Source organism: Homo sapiens, chromosome 1 (assembly GCF_000001405.40).
Source record: "Homo sapiens chromosome 1, GRCh38.p14 Primary Assembly".
NCBI classification, from domain to species: domain Eukaryota; kingdom Metazoa; phylum Chordata; class Mammalia; order Primates; family Hominidae; genus Homo; species Homo sapiens.
The window spans coordinates 80,630,066-80,645,312 of record NC_000001.11 but is presented as its reverse complement, the minus strand read 5'-3'; the positions used below and the strand labels follow the sequence as shown (position 1 = coordinate 80,645,312).

The 15,247-nt window shown below is 37.7% G+C and overlaps 1 long non-coding RNA gene across 3 annotated transcripts in view; it reads right to left on the bottom strand.

The window, feature by feature from the left end:
- Nucleotides 1–15,247, bottom strand: part of LINC01781 (long intergenic non-protein coding RNA 1781) — a 111,034-nt gene that overhangs the window by 1,476 nt on the left and 94,311 nt on the right. For 2 of the 3 annotated variants that reach the window (NR_125940.1, NR_125941.1), the window contains one exon: nt 960–1,088. This is a non-coding gene — a long non-coding RNA (long intergenic non-protein coding RNA 1781). Of the gene's footprint in view, nt 1–959; nt 1,089–3,911; nt 4,027–15,247 lie in introns of those variants that run through there. The other variant, NR_125942.1, reaches the window with a different exon arrangement.

The window sequence follows — 15,247 nt, the reverse complement described above, 5'->3', positions numbered from 1 at the left end:
CAATGGAATTATATCTGGAAAAGTAAATTTCTATTTCAAGTGTGTATTTTCAGCTCACTATCAGGAATTAGTACATCAGCATGAAGACAAACCTCATAGTGAGTTAATTGATTGTTATTAGGGTTCATCAGAGCAGATTTAGAAAGTGGCCAAGGTTTGTCATCTGTTGCCACTTTTCTTGTTGTTGCTTTTATTCCTGCTCTTTTAAATGTTTTATAAAAATATTTATTGAAACCTACCAGTGGTACTTTGTAGAATTTAATATACAAAAGAAAGGAGTATTCTTCTCCAGGACCTTAAAGTCTCCTCAGGGAGATTAAGAAGGTTTACTGAATTTTAAGTAACAGCCCACCAAATGGAAACTGTAAGTGCCAAATGAGTGGTAAGAACAGTGAAGACTTAAAAGAACTAACTTACAGATCAGTTGTTGGAGTGACGGTTCACTGGGAAATGGGATTTGAGCTGTGTTTTGGATGGTGGATATAATTGCCCCCTGAGAATGATTAAGTGTAAGGATGTAGGGGGAGGTGGTAAGGAGCACATAAATTATTTGAGATACATTTTTTATTCTAGTAATAAATGAGTAGTTCACTGAAGCCTGATTATGGCAGGAACTGAACATCAGTTTATAGCATTTGACTTTTCTTATAAACAAAGGAGAGCATTTAATTATTTTGAGCCTGGTCAAATATTTTGCCTCACAAGATTAATCTTCCGGAGGACACATGTGAAGGCAAGACTATGATAGTAGGAAAGTCTATGAAAGTATTCTACATAAAAGGTAATAAGGCTCTGAACTAGAACAATGGCAGGGAGAATGGAAAAGATGAGATATTTGGAAGATGACTTATCTGAGAAGAGTCTACGATACTTAGTAATTGATTTTATAGAAGAGTTAGAGAAACTAGCCAACATGATTTTACATTTATGATTTTTTGCAACTGAGGGAAAACTAATACCTTTAGAGGTATAGAGGCAGGAATGGTGGCTCACACTTGTAATCCCAGCACTTTGGGAGGCTGAGGCAGGTGAATCGCTTGAGCTCATGAGCTCAAGACCAGCCGGGGCTACATGGTGGAACCCCATCTCTACAAAAAAAATACAAAAATTAGCCTAACACACGTGGTGTATGCCTGTAGTTCCAGCTACTGTGGAGACTGAGGTGGGAAAATGACGTGAGCTGAGGAGGTGGAGGTTGCAGTGAGCTGAGATGGTGCCGCTGCACTTCAGCCTGGGCAATAGAGTCAGACCTTGTCAAAAAAAAAAAAAAAAAAAAAAAAAAGAGAGAGAAAGAGAGAAAGAAAAGAAATAAAAGAAAAAACATTCATTATTAAATGTGCATTGGCTCCAGAATACCAACCCAGCACACTGTAGAAAGATATGAAACCATCAGTCGTTGGGGATGCTGTTAAAAACAGCATTTTTTTAAGCAAAATATCAAGGTAATGCTCCTATAGGTAGTAGGTGTACATCAAACCTATTGACAAACATTTCCATTTCATTATGGGAAGAACATTAGCCCTGTTCACTTCTGTCACCAGATGATAGCAAACAATGCTCCATTTCCCTCTCAAATTATGACAAATTCATTTGTACTCTCTGTCTCTCCATAGGTATTTCAAATTAGTTTGGAACTATTATTTTTAGTTGCCTGGAAGTATACTTGCAGGAAAAGAAAGTTTTATGTTGATGAGACTTTTTTTTTAACCTGTTTTACTATGTGTCTTTTAGAAAGCAATATGCCACCATCATTACTACAACAATAAAAACAGTAGAGTACAAATAGGAACACTTTTATTCTATGAAGGTCATCATGAAGTTGCATTTGAAATCTCAGAGAGAAGTAATGTATGAGAAACATTTTAAAACTTCTTTCTATAGGTCATATCTATTTTGGAAAGTGATCACAATATTACAAAGTGTCATGTATAAATATCTTTGAAAAAATTGAATACAATAAGAAATGTTGCACAAGTTATTTTGTATACCTTACTCAGTTTTTACACATCCCTTGGAAGCACCTTATAGCCTCTATCATTCTTGAACCTCTTTGGAAAATTTTAAGCAAAAAATTGGGGTAAGTAGTGGAGGAGGTATAACCAAGATATACCTGACTCAAGTACCTAAAACTATCTCAGGTTACAGTTTGTGAAAATAAGTAATAGTCTAGTTTTTAAAGTAGCTTTAGTCATAAAACAAAATTATGTGATTGGTAAAGCAGCAATTTCTCTTTCAATTTAAAAATCCAAGACAAACATATATGTTATTTCAGTTGACATCTTTTCAAGGTTCTACTGTAACCTAGGTTTTATATTTGTCTAGGGAGAGAATAGTTTACTATGTACTAAGTAGTTCTCCAGAAAAATAAAATAAAAAAAAACTCTCTGTTACACTATATGACATGAAATGAATATATGCCCAATCACTCACTCATGGTTCTGGGAAGAAATAGAAAAAAAAAAATGAAGAAAACAGGACAAGAATTTCCAATATTCATTCCTATAATCATTCTATCTAAACATTCCATTAACAAGAGCCAACTTTGGTACTCAGAATTTGAGACAAAAAATACTTTGTTATAAATTGATTATTTCTTGCTCTTTACATTTACATTTACATATGATACTGAGAAATTTCTGAGCTTCATGGAATTTCTCTGAAGAATTTTAGATATTACAGTAAAATTTCAAGTTGCTAAAATGTTTGATAATAAAGCAAGCTTGAATTAAAAAGGTAACAGCCTAAACCATTTGAAAATTTCCATTTGGTTCATAATGCTTTATTTTCAAGGGTCATATACAGTCTTTTTCCATGAATATTTAAATTTCCTTTATTTTCTAAAATGGCCTGAATAACCAAATTTCCCTAATAGGCTTTAGTGAGAAATAGCTAATAAAATCAGACAGTACGCTGCTATGCAACTGCTTAAGAGAAACATTTTTCTTATTAAAACATCTATATTGAATTCTCTTTAATGTTCAAGAATTCTTGCCTCATTCTGTCAAACTTCTCCACGCTATTCTCATTATTTCTCAGAGCAACCCTATGAGATTTTAAAGTGGCAACCATTACAATTTTATTTCAGTAATGGGAGAAACTGAGGCAAAGAGAGTATAAGAGCATCACACAGCATGCCGGTGGCAGGCCTGGGAACAAAACAAATATCTTTAATTTTCCTGCCAAAAGCATACTCTAAAAAACTGAAGAAATTTCTTTGTCTTCAAAAAAACGGGAGTAGAGGGGAGGCAAAAAAAATCCTACAGTAGTAGAATATCACTATTGCTCGATGTTATTAGGCCTAATTAATGTTTCTGAAAAATATCTATGAGGTTTATTCTTTGCTAATAGTACATTTATTATTTCACAACTTTGTTGCAAGTTCAAGTGCTTACATGTAGAACAACTACAGAGCGATGATTAGAGAAAAGCACATATAGAATGAATACATTATCTTAAGCTACTTAATCTTTATGCCTCAATCTATACATTATCACTTTATATAATAATTGCATTATTTTCCTCAATCCCTCTCAAATACACACACACACACACACACACACACACACACACACACACACCCCAATGACTTTGCTTAAAACATATGGTAGTTGTCAACAATGAAGAATTTTAAAATAAAAATTAAATCATTAATTTTGCTTATTGCTTATGGACAAGCAGGAAGATGTCTTTGCAAACTGATTAACATATAGTAATGAATAAGCTTAATATAATTTCTATTTAAGTGAAAAATAAAATGAAGCATACAGTTGTGGGTTAATGCTATATGCGACAATATTTCCAAAGATTGATCTTTAGTAAAGATATGTTAATAAAGCATTATTGGCTGCTCATTTAATAGAAGTTGCCTTGCCTTGCTGGGCATTAATAACATATGGATGATAAAAGAGTACCTTTCTTCAGAGAGTAATTGCCCATATTTCTCATATTTTCCAGAGCCGAAAGCCAAAAATCCTCATAATTGATAAGCATATGGACTGCAGTAGCATATTGCAGAAACTCTCCGGCAATAAACATACCCAATTATTTTCAATTTCATTCTACTTCTTTATTTATGCAAAACTCAACATTGTTTCTTCAAAACATCCTGGTTTCATTTCCTCCTCCCTGAAAAGCAGTTACACTTTAATCAGCATCACTGAAACATTTGTACTCCCTCACTCTTGTTATTTCGTTATGAGACTCTATTTTTGGCATATCAAATAATTATATTACTTATGAGCTTACTATTTTAATTTTTATCAAACATTTTATTATTATCAATGAAAACTGAAATATGATAGAATACATTATTTTTAGTTGAATTTTTAATATTCTCCATCCAAATGGTAGCTGCATTTTGTGAGTAATTATATCATCAGATATGAATTCTTGTTGAGACTTCACATTCACTTTTACTTATTTTTGTTTACTTGTTTAACAATTAGAACTAATTTGCACTTACATAATTCAGGTTATGAGAAAATTCCACATATAAATTAGAATTTAATTTGTATTTACATGAAGTTTTCTTTCTTACTTGATAGCAAAAACTTGTTTCCATAACCTTGTCTGTGATATTGTAGAGATTGTTCAAGCATCAGACAGGGGGTTATCCTCAATTACCTTCAGAGTCACTTTCAACTCTGATATTCTCTGATATCATGATGCTATATATAGAATAATAATAGAGACACCTTTTATATATCCTCCTAGATAGTTTTATGAAACTAATATTACTCAAACTAGAACTCCTTGGAATACCCGGAATTTTATCAAGTATTATTCCCAAAAAGTTATGTTGAGATTTAACAACAACAACAAAAAAGCCATAATGTATCACATGCACAATCATTGTTAAACAGAGAGAATACCATAGGCACTGAACAATTCTGGGAAACCTCAGGCTGTGGACGTTTACACTGGTTTCTTTGATCAGTCACCCTTAATACATTAAACATCATTGCCCCAAACAAAATATCTAGCTTTCACTGATATCCAGGGTTTATTTCCTTGTTTGCTGCAGGCAAACAAGCTTTCACCAAAGGAACTAACTTAGCTTCTTTGACTAGTGATTTCCATCTTTTTGCTTAAGTTTTTATTTCCATTGTTTTGAAATGGTGTGTAAATAGCTGATCCAAATCTTTATTCCCCTGAACCCTTTTCATGCCACAGTGATTTTTTTTATTGTGGTTAAGAAAACACACAGCATGAGAACTACCCTCTTAGCAAATTTTTAAGTGTATAATAGAGTATTGTCAACTATAAGCATCATATTGTACTGTAGATCTCTAGAACTGTTTTTATTTTGCATGACTGAAACTTTACGCCCATTAAACTGCATCTCTTCAGTTTCACTTCCTCACTATTGGTTTCCCTTTTATGTCCTCTTCTTTACTTTTTTCTTCTACTGTCATTTCCCATTAGGTCTTTCAGTACTTTTTGTATCTTCAGTCTTTCAATGCTTATACACCACTGCTGATTTGTTTAACATAATTAAGAAAACACAGTGTTATCATGTATTGTAAGATCCTTAGATATTAATGTACAGGTGGTCACAGCATCTTCTCATGTAGTAGGTATTTCCTTTACCTTCCAAATCCAATCCCTGCTATTGCCACCGTTATTCTATGAAGGATTTGTCAAGCCCTGTTTCTCCTGAATATTATTATGAAGTTCAAGGTTAATGTGTGGGAACAAAAACCAGAAGAGATGAAAGTCTATTAATTGCAACTGAAAAGGACAATTAGGAAACATAGATCTAGAAACAGTAGAGAAATGGGTCAGGAGTACCAAAAGGTAAAGTGGATTTAGTAAACAGTAGAGTTTTTGAGATTTTTAGATAGAGTCTTAAGACGGGAGTTAAAAATATTTTGTAATCAACTCATATTTGAATTTTTTCAAGAGAGAAGAAAATAAAAATTCAAATTGCTTTCATTTAGTTTTGGTTGATAGACTATTGTCTGATGGATTTGAATAGATATCTAAATTTGGGGAACAATTATTTGGGATTTAACAAATAAGATAATTACTGTGTATCATATATGTTTAAATGAAGCAAAAACTTACTTTCACAGTGACCACCAAACTGCTAGTAAGCAGAGTGCAAGTTGATTTTAAAAAACAGCCGTAATCTCATGCCTGTAATCCCAGCACTTTGGGAGGCCAAGGCAAGCAGATCACGAGGTCAGGAGTTCAAGATCAGCCTGATTAACATGGTGAAACCCCATTTCTACTAAAAATACAAAAATTAGCTGGGCGTGGTGGCAGGCGCCTGTAATCACAGCCACTCAGGAGGCTGAGGCAGAATAGCTTGAACCCAGGAGACAGAGGCTGCAGTGAATCGAGATGCCACCACTGCACTCCAGCCTGGCAACAGAGCAAGACTCCATTTCAAAAAACAAAACAAAACAAAAACAAAACAGCCATAATGTTTCTTGGAATATGACAGCATTATCAGAGGAAATTTCAGAAATTTCTTTGAATTTTACTTTTGGAGAACAAAGACATAATAAAAAAATGGATGCTCCAAAAAGGACAAAACTTATGAAACTCACCATGTTAAGAAAACCAAATATAACCTCTCATAAAATTATAAAATCAACATTAGTTTTTAACTCATCCTCAGTAGACCCTCACCTTCATAGAAGGTAGATCCTACTGGATGTGTTGCACGGCTTTTCCTTAGTTCAGCTAAAGCAGGCAGGGTTCCTGTCCATCCCACGGCCACGAAAATTTAGGCTCACAGACGTTGCAGAGCGTGAGTAAAGCAGGATTTTTTTGGGTGAAAAAGAAAAAAAGGGCTAAGCAGGGAATCTCTGCAAGGCTAGAGTATCAAGCTTGAGTGCTTCCCACCCTCAGCTTGAATCCAAGTTCCACACAGGAAGAGGAGGGGCCAGGATCCTCCCTGCTGCACAGGTGGAATCTTCCTGAGGCTCCACCTCAGTGAGCAGGCTGGACGGAGTTTCTCCAGGGACCCCCGCCCATCTGGCTGTCTCATTCGCCCCTCTAAAGAAGTACATCTAACTGCCGTTAGCATGAGGATAAGGACGAAGACCAATATTAATTTCTTCCTGCTGCCAGGGGGTGTTGTTTTGGGGAAACAGCAGTCAGAGCTCTTTCAGAGGCCGATCTAAGGGTTCCCAGCAGAAGGGGCCATCCTCAGAGGCTCCCGTTGCATGACTGTTTGGAGTTTGATGACTTGAGGGTAAGAACAGAGAGGGGGTTATTAGGAAACATGTGTCAAAATGAAACAAGGGCAGGGGCAAGGACAGCTCAAAAATTCTGAAGCCTTTTACCAGTTTGCACTGGGAGAGGGAGGCCAAAAGCCCAACTGGTTAACAAAACTTTACCTTTTTGCTGGCATGTCAGGCTTCTGGGTTCCTTTCCCCTGAACCCTATCCTAAGCCAACCAGTTTAAGGTTTGGGAAATTAACTCTTTCCAGTATGGAAGATGTATCTGAGGGGAGTGTCCCATAGTACTGAGTCAGTTACCTATTAGTGAAGAGAGAACAGAGGAGGAGAAAGGAATAAAAAGAAGGCATTTTTTCAAAGGAGTTCAATGGGTTGAGGATGCATTCAAAAGGGGTACAGACTCAAGATGAGAAAGAGGGGAGCAGGCATCCCTGGTTCCCTTCTCTTCCTAGCAGATACCCAGGTGTAAGGGAGTGGGAGAGAGAGCATCCTTTTTCCCTCTTCTGTCCTTCCATCCCCCAGTTCCGGCGACCTTGGTAGGTGTCGCCATAGGTGTCAAAGCGACTTGCATCCATGAAGCAGGGGGGCCTAGAGAATAGGAATTATCTGTTCTCACCTATGTCTCTTTCCCATCTACTATCAGTAGCCTTAGAGTTCCCTAGACCTCATTTATGCCATCAGTATTAATGTGGTCTTTATCCATGAAACAAGAGGCTTGGGGTTGGCTTAATCGGCAGTGCTGTGCTGTGCCTTTTAACCTCTGTCATCACCTGTGCTGTGCCTTTTAACCTCTGTTGTCATTTGCCTCTGGATCCCTCAGATCCAGTTTTCCTCCCTAGGGCTTTGACCTGAAGCATGGAATTGAGTTTGGGACAAATATGTGTCTTGAGGGTTTACATGGACTCATTATAAGCTGAATGCTAAAGTGAAACTGTGGAATTGAGTCCTCCAACAAGGAAGAGGAAAGAATGTCTTGTGACCCATCCAGATAACTGGTAGCTAGAGTTATGCTTGCTAGAATTTCGGTGCATGGTGCCTGGCTTTGGTTAGTTCCCTTGGTTTTACATTCCCAAAAAGGAAACCTCCGGGTGATGGGCACTGTATTTATTCCCTATTTATTCTATCACTTGGCAGGATTTGCAGGATAATTGCTCAGAACTAGAGTATCTATCCGGATTTCTACATTACCCATCCCTTTTGTTCTTTCTGAGCTACAGCCAGGGATTGCCGGTTGGTTCACAGAATCAAGCAGGATTAGTCTAAAATGTAGATGAAAACTTAAAAAGAACTAGTGAGTTTAGAATTTAATGACAAAGATATACATTTTGAACATAATTTCTCACTCTCCAGTCCTCATGTTTGTTAAAAAATAAATCATTGTAGGACTGAGTTGTTTGCAAAATAGACTTTCGTTTTATACTTGGCCTGATTATTTGCATTAAGTGCAGCAAGAATAATTATTTCTACATAGGCCTTTTGGATTGGCTTTGATGGAATTCTGTTCCACAAGGAGTCTCAGATAAGACCTTTTAAAGCTGAGCCCAGCCATGGGTTAGTATCCTCAAACACCTGTGAGTTGGGTGATCCTCTCCTCTTAAGGTCCCAAGATAAACGTGGAGGTCCTAGACCTGTTAGAAAGTGACATTCTTAACTGAATACAGGTCAGGAACCCTCTACAGAGACCATGTAGGCAAGGGTATGAGGCCAGTTTGCCCACTGGGCTTTTATTGACTTTGCAAGGAGAGATTGACTCCTTAAAGGGAAGCACACCCTTCCAGTCAAAGCCTTGGTAAAATTACCAGATTCTCCAACTGTGTCTTGTAGCAAAAGAAAAATGAATTCTTCTTGCACTGATGCAAACAACTATATTGCCATAAGAATACTCACAGACAGTTTCCAAATTTTAGAGGAACCAGGTAGAGAAAAACAAACATGCTCCAAATTTTGATCCCAAGAATAAACCTTACTTAATTATTAAAGGCCATAAATAATTTAAATAGTTTAAGTAAATAGTTTAAATTTCCTTGAGTCTGAAAAACAAAAAAAAGGATCAGCAATATTCCAGGCAAAGGTTAAAAAGGTTGCTTCAGTTTTCTGAGTTCAGTCCATTGGTTAACTCTTGTTTTGCTTGATATTCATGGACATTTTGGCTCTTCATGAGTCCTGTACATTTTCCTTTAACATCACAATCTCCAATGTTACCAGAAGCCTGTATTTGAGAGCACCTGTTTCAGTCCTACAGCTTATTATAAACCATTTTTTTGAAAAGCATTAAAATAAGACAACAATTTTCTGTGAATAGCAAAATATCCAGGGTAGTTACAGTTAGAAACACAATTGAGAAAGAAGTTTGGTTATCTCTGTGGTTTACAATAACTTAAACATAACAACCTTAATTATGATTGATAGCACATACTCAGACATTAGAATTTGAGGAATCCCATAAATTTTGGAACATATATTAGCATTATTCACCAAGATATAACCTAAAGAAGATTGAGCATCATGTTGGCAATCCCATGTACCTAAATATGTGAAATAATTCTGTTTATCTCTCCTTTCTGGACATTTCAGGGGCCCTCTGAAGTATTTGAAAAGCCAGGTGCCAGGGAAGACAATTTTGAAACTGAAGTTTGATGTGGGGAAGGCTGTCAAATACGTTTCATAAACACTTGATATTATGAAATAGAATTCCGGATTACCATAAGTTATTTATTTTGCCAAAATGATGACTTGGAAATTTTTAAGAAGCAAAAAGCTTTTATAACCCTTTACAAATTTTGTGAATGAGCAGATTAGCACCTTAAGGAAACTTTGTTATGTTTTTATTTCAATGTTCAATTTACAGAAAAACCATATAATACTCCTTTTGGAATTTAGTTAGTATGTTCACCTAGATGACCTCTTCTGCAAGAAGAATTTCCACAATTCTTCCACTGCTTCTTTGAACTTTCAGCTTTTTCCTAATTTAACTCAAAACAATCCTTTAACCCCAGACAAAAGTTTACATTTCCATGCCTTCTTACAAACTTTTACTAAAAAACGCACTTTACTGTTCTTACACACCTTTCGAGTAAATCTATTTCTAGTAGTTTCAGTTAACTCCTAGCAATTTTTAACTTTAAGGAAAACTTGGTAAGTTGTTTTAGTTGTGTGATAAGTGCAGCCAAGGTTTGCCTTCTTAATTAAGGGTGTGGTTAGTTCCAAATGGCCCCAGGCTCTACCAGTTGTGAAGCTGGCAAATCAAATAGTTCTCAAAACCCCAAAAGCAGTTTGCACCCTCAAAACACTTACCAAACCTTGTATCTGACCTGCATTTTACTAATAATCTTTAAGGCTGTTTTTATTTCTTAAAGATTAAAGTCACATGAACTGAAAGCTTCCACAGCTTTTAACTTCCCTTTAAAAAATAATAGATCCAAGTGTTTGTCTTTCTTTAGGCCAAATTAATTAGAGCTATTTTGACAGACATTACACACAGTATACACACAGACAGGCAGAGGAAAACACAGTCGCTGGGTGGGAAGCTTTAAGAGACAGGGCTAGGAAAAAGTGCAGATATGGAGCCTGAGAGGGCTCATCCCCTAAGGCAGGGTTGCCCAACAAAGCCTTGCCAAGGGTTACCACCCACGCCCTCAGGATATAAAACAAGATGGAGGCTTGATTTCACAACCAAAACTTTGCAGAGAATACAAACAGTGATACTTGTTGGGGAGGGCTGGCCTGGTAAAACATCTTATGAAGGAAAAAACTTTAAAAGTTAGCTCCCGACAAGGTGGAGAAGGGGAAAGAAAAAAGAACAGTTTAAAAATGCCTAGGGAAGAACCTCTAATTCTTAGGCAAGTGGTTCCTCCACCAGGAGAAAATCTTAATTATTGTCCAATGGAGCTGAACCCCTTGGTGGGAGAAAGGGAAGGTTGCAGCAGTGCCTGGCTGGGAACCAGCCACGTGGCAGTGCAGGATTCTTGAGCCATACATCCCAGCCCCGGCAGAGAGGGAGGAGCGGCTGGGAACTGCTGCTCACAGGTCAGTCCTGAAAAAGGAAGGAAAAGGCCATGAAAAGGCCGGGGAGCAACAGGAGTTGGGAAAATGGTTTCCCCCCACCCTCAGAAGTCCGAGGATGAAAAGGCTTAGAAGCGACAGTGAGAGGTTTTGAATCTCCATTTCACTCACCGCTTCTTGAGCTCCCACTTTGTGCACCAAAAATGTTGCAGGAATTTTCCTTAGTTCAGTTAAAGGTGGAGTTCTTGTCTGTCCCATAGCCATGAAAATTTAGGCTTGCAGACGATTAGAGAGGGTGAGTAAAGCAGGGTTTTATTGGATGAAAAAGAAGAAAAGGGGGAAACAGGGAGTCTCCGCAAATCAAAATGACTGTGTCTTTTCCCACAGTTCTTGAATTAACTTCACTGATATATGTGGCAGGCCTAGTAAACTACCTATCCTTTGATTATTAATAGCTTCTCCCTTGCTAACAAGATTCCATTATTGTTCTATGTAGCATTATGTCCATGTCTGGTTAAAATGGTCTAAACAAAAATGACAATCACATTACCAACTTGTCAGCTTTGCTGTCTGTTTTACCAAGTATCTCTAAAGAGGGGTAATGGCATATTTTTCTGTGAAGCTCGCACCTTGAATCCCAGGTCCCACGTGGGAAGAGGAGGGGCCAGGCTCCTCCCTGCTGCAAAAGTCATGAACTTCCCAGGGCTCCACCTCAGTGGGCAGACTGGTTGGAGTTTCTCCAGGGACCCCCTCCCACCTGGCTGTCTCAGATGTACACAGTTCAAAGTTGGATGCTTTTTCTCACATTTCTTCAGAGAGCAGATACATTGAGGACTTACCTGTTGTTGTAGGATGACTGACTAATTTCAACTAGAAGGCGGTAGTAATGCAGTCACGAGATTAAGAAAGAAAGACGTTTTGGGAAGAGAAAATGAAAGGTCACTAGTAGGCCTGTGACATTCACCAATATTTTATTCTTCTCTTTCTCTCTCTTTCTCATGCACACACACACACACACACATACACACACACACACACACATTTGGCAGAATTCTTTACATTGTTTATTTAATCTATATTGAAATGGGAGAGGTTCCCTTGTCCCCCTTGCAGGGCATGTGATGGGGGTGTGGCTCGCTTCTTCAGTGCCCCATTGCTTAAACCTCTAGGGGAAGATAACAGACGAGCCGGCTGTGGGGCTCCAACCCCACGGCAGTGTCTAGGGATGAATATTTATAGCTGAAACCCAGTGGGCATGTGTTGCAGGGTGCTCTTTTAGTTTAGCCATCCATAGGTGGCTTGTGTTGGCTCAATTAGACCCTGCCTTATAGCAAGGACAGAGGGCTTTATGTATCATGAGGTTCTTGCCTTGATATACCAGAAGAATCAGATCACATGTGGGTTTGGAGAATGAGTGCAAGGTTTTATTGAGTGGAAGTAGCTCTCAGGAGATGGGGAGCCAGAGGGGAGATGGTTTCCCCTGGAGTCAGGCCGCTAGGCAGCCCTGGCTCTCCTCCAACTGCCTGGCCAAACTCCGCCTCATTCCGCTAGTCTATGGCCTGCCTGCCGGGATGCCAGCATCTGCCATGTGGTCTTCCACAGGCGTGCACCTTTTGACGTCCTCTCGATGTCCAGCCACTTGTGTGTCTGCCTACTAGGGTCTCGGGGTTTTTATAGACACAGGATGGGAGCGTGGCAGGCCAGGGTGGCTTTGAGAAATGCAACATTTGGGCGTGAAGGCAGGAGTGCCTCTCCTCACCTAGGTTCATGGGCACAGGCTGGGGGTGGAGCATCACACCATTGCCTTCCCAGCACTTCCCTTCTCCCCTTCTGTATCGATATTACTCAACTCCACATCTGGTCTGTATCTTTCCCCACAGTTCTTGAATTAACATCATTGATATATGTGGCAGGACTTGTAAACTACCTATCCTTTGAGTATTAATAGCTTCTTCCTTGCTAACAAGATTCCGTTATTCTACATAGCATATGTCCATGCCTAAGTGGGCTAAACCAAAATGACAATTGCATTACCAATTTGTCAACTTTGCTGTCTATTTTACCAAGTATCTCTAAAGAGGGGTAATGGCATATTTTTCCATGAAGCTTTTACTTTACTAATAAAAGGGGATGGTTGCTGCTGGCACTGTGCTTCCTAATATAATTCTATATTAAATCTAGATATGACAATGTGCTGTCTGACAATAGAGCACTTATTTCACAACCACAAGGTGACAAGCATGAGAAAACCAATGAATTAATGACAGTCTAGCAGAAAAATAGAAAGGGCCTGGTTCCTTGATTGTATCTGTGATCAGTCAAAGTAATGCTAAGACCTACCTACTTCTACAATTTTTACTATGTGAGAAACATAAACTCCAATTTATTTCATCTACCTTTTTGGGAGTTTGTGTAACATGCAGTTGAAAACACTATTAACTTATACATTATAGCTTGCATAATAACCGTCAAAGTCTCAGATCAAAGATTAGATGAACATGAAACTATAATCTGGAATATGTTGTAGTGGCTTTTTAAAAATTATTTACATGGTGAAACAGATATGTTTATTCTGAAATAACAGATAAGTATATTAATACTTAAGGAGTTAGTTAATTTTGCAACACTAGTATATAGCCAAAAAAAAAAAAGACAAATCTAATTCTTTCTGTGCCATTTTAACTCTACTGTTTTTTCTATATCCAATTAGAGATACTGACCGAATACTTTATTGATTGTTTTGTTTGCAAAGAAATGGTGTTGGGTATAAAATTCTACAAACGCTTAAAGCTAAACAAGGAGAAATATTAAACTGTGACTTCCTTGAAAGCAGTCACTGGATTATGCTTAGTTACTTGAAACAACACAAATTTATTATTTTACATTCCTGGAGGTCAAAAGTCCAAAAGAAGATTTACTGAGTGGAAACCAAAGTGTCAGTAGAGATATTTTCTTCTGTAGGCTGTGATGGGAGAATCCATTTATTTGCCTTTTGCAGTTTCTTGAGGCCGTTTGTATTCCTTGGTTCATGATCACTGTCCTGATCACTCCAATCTCTTGCTTTCATCATCGTGTCTCCTACTACTAACTCTGATTCTCCTGCTTTCCTTTCATAAAAACACTGGTGATTACATTGAGCCCAAGCAAATAATCCAGGATAATCTTCCCATCTCAAAATCCTGTATTTGATAACATCTGAAAAGGCTCTTCCACCAAGTAAGGTAACATTGTCATAGGTTCTAGGCATTACGATTTGAACGTCTTTGGAGGATCTTTATTCAGCCTAGCACAAATAGATAAGGGTACAAATGAATATAGAAGTAAATTAATACTCTGAGATAAAATGACCCTATTCATAGTACATTGACATAATAGCCTCTTCTGTTTATTAACATGGCTTTAATTCAACTCTTGCTCTTCACTATGCTATATGATCTCACTAATGTAGTGAGAGGCTGAGATACTGAAATGAAGGTCCTGCTGACTTGAAGCTCATGCATGAACTGTAATGGATTTCTTCTACACAGAATATAGTCTGAGATTATCCAGTATGACGCCATCCAGTCTGAGTTCTCTGCCCTTCAATTGAAATATTTAGATCATTTACGTTATTGTAATAATTAATTTTAGATGAGTTAAATCTTTCTATTTACTCTTTCTTTTTTTATATATTCCTGCTTTTTGAGCTCTATTATTGTGATATTTTATGTATACACATATATGTTATTATATAGATACACAGATATATATGTTTTCACCCACAGTTCCTGGCTTACAACTCCTATAGCCCTTGCTACTTCCTACGTGACTAAAACAATGAGTGTATCTTTTGTTAAAGTATTTGTCCTTGTGTCATTGGTACCTGAAGCAGATCTGGAACAGCTTCAGAATGATAAAGATGAAAGACAGTATTTTGTTATAATGTCAGGATGGTTTAGACCTCGGAAGCAAATCTCCTGCCCTCCTTTCACCTGCTCCTTTTTCTCCCCAAGGCAGACCATAGAAACTAAAAATGTTCTCTGATTTTCTCCTGCCTTTCTGTCTTGGAGCTGGC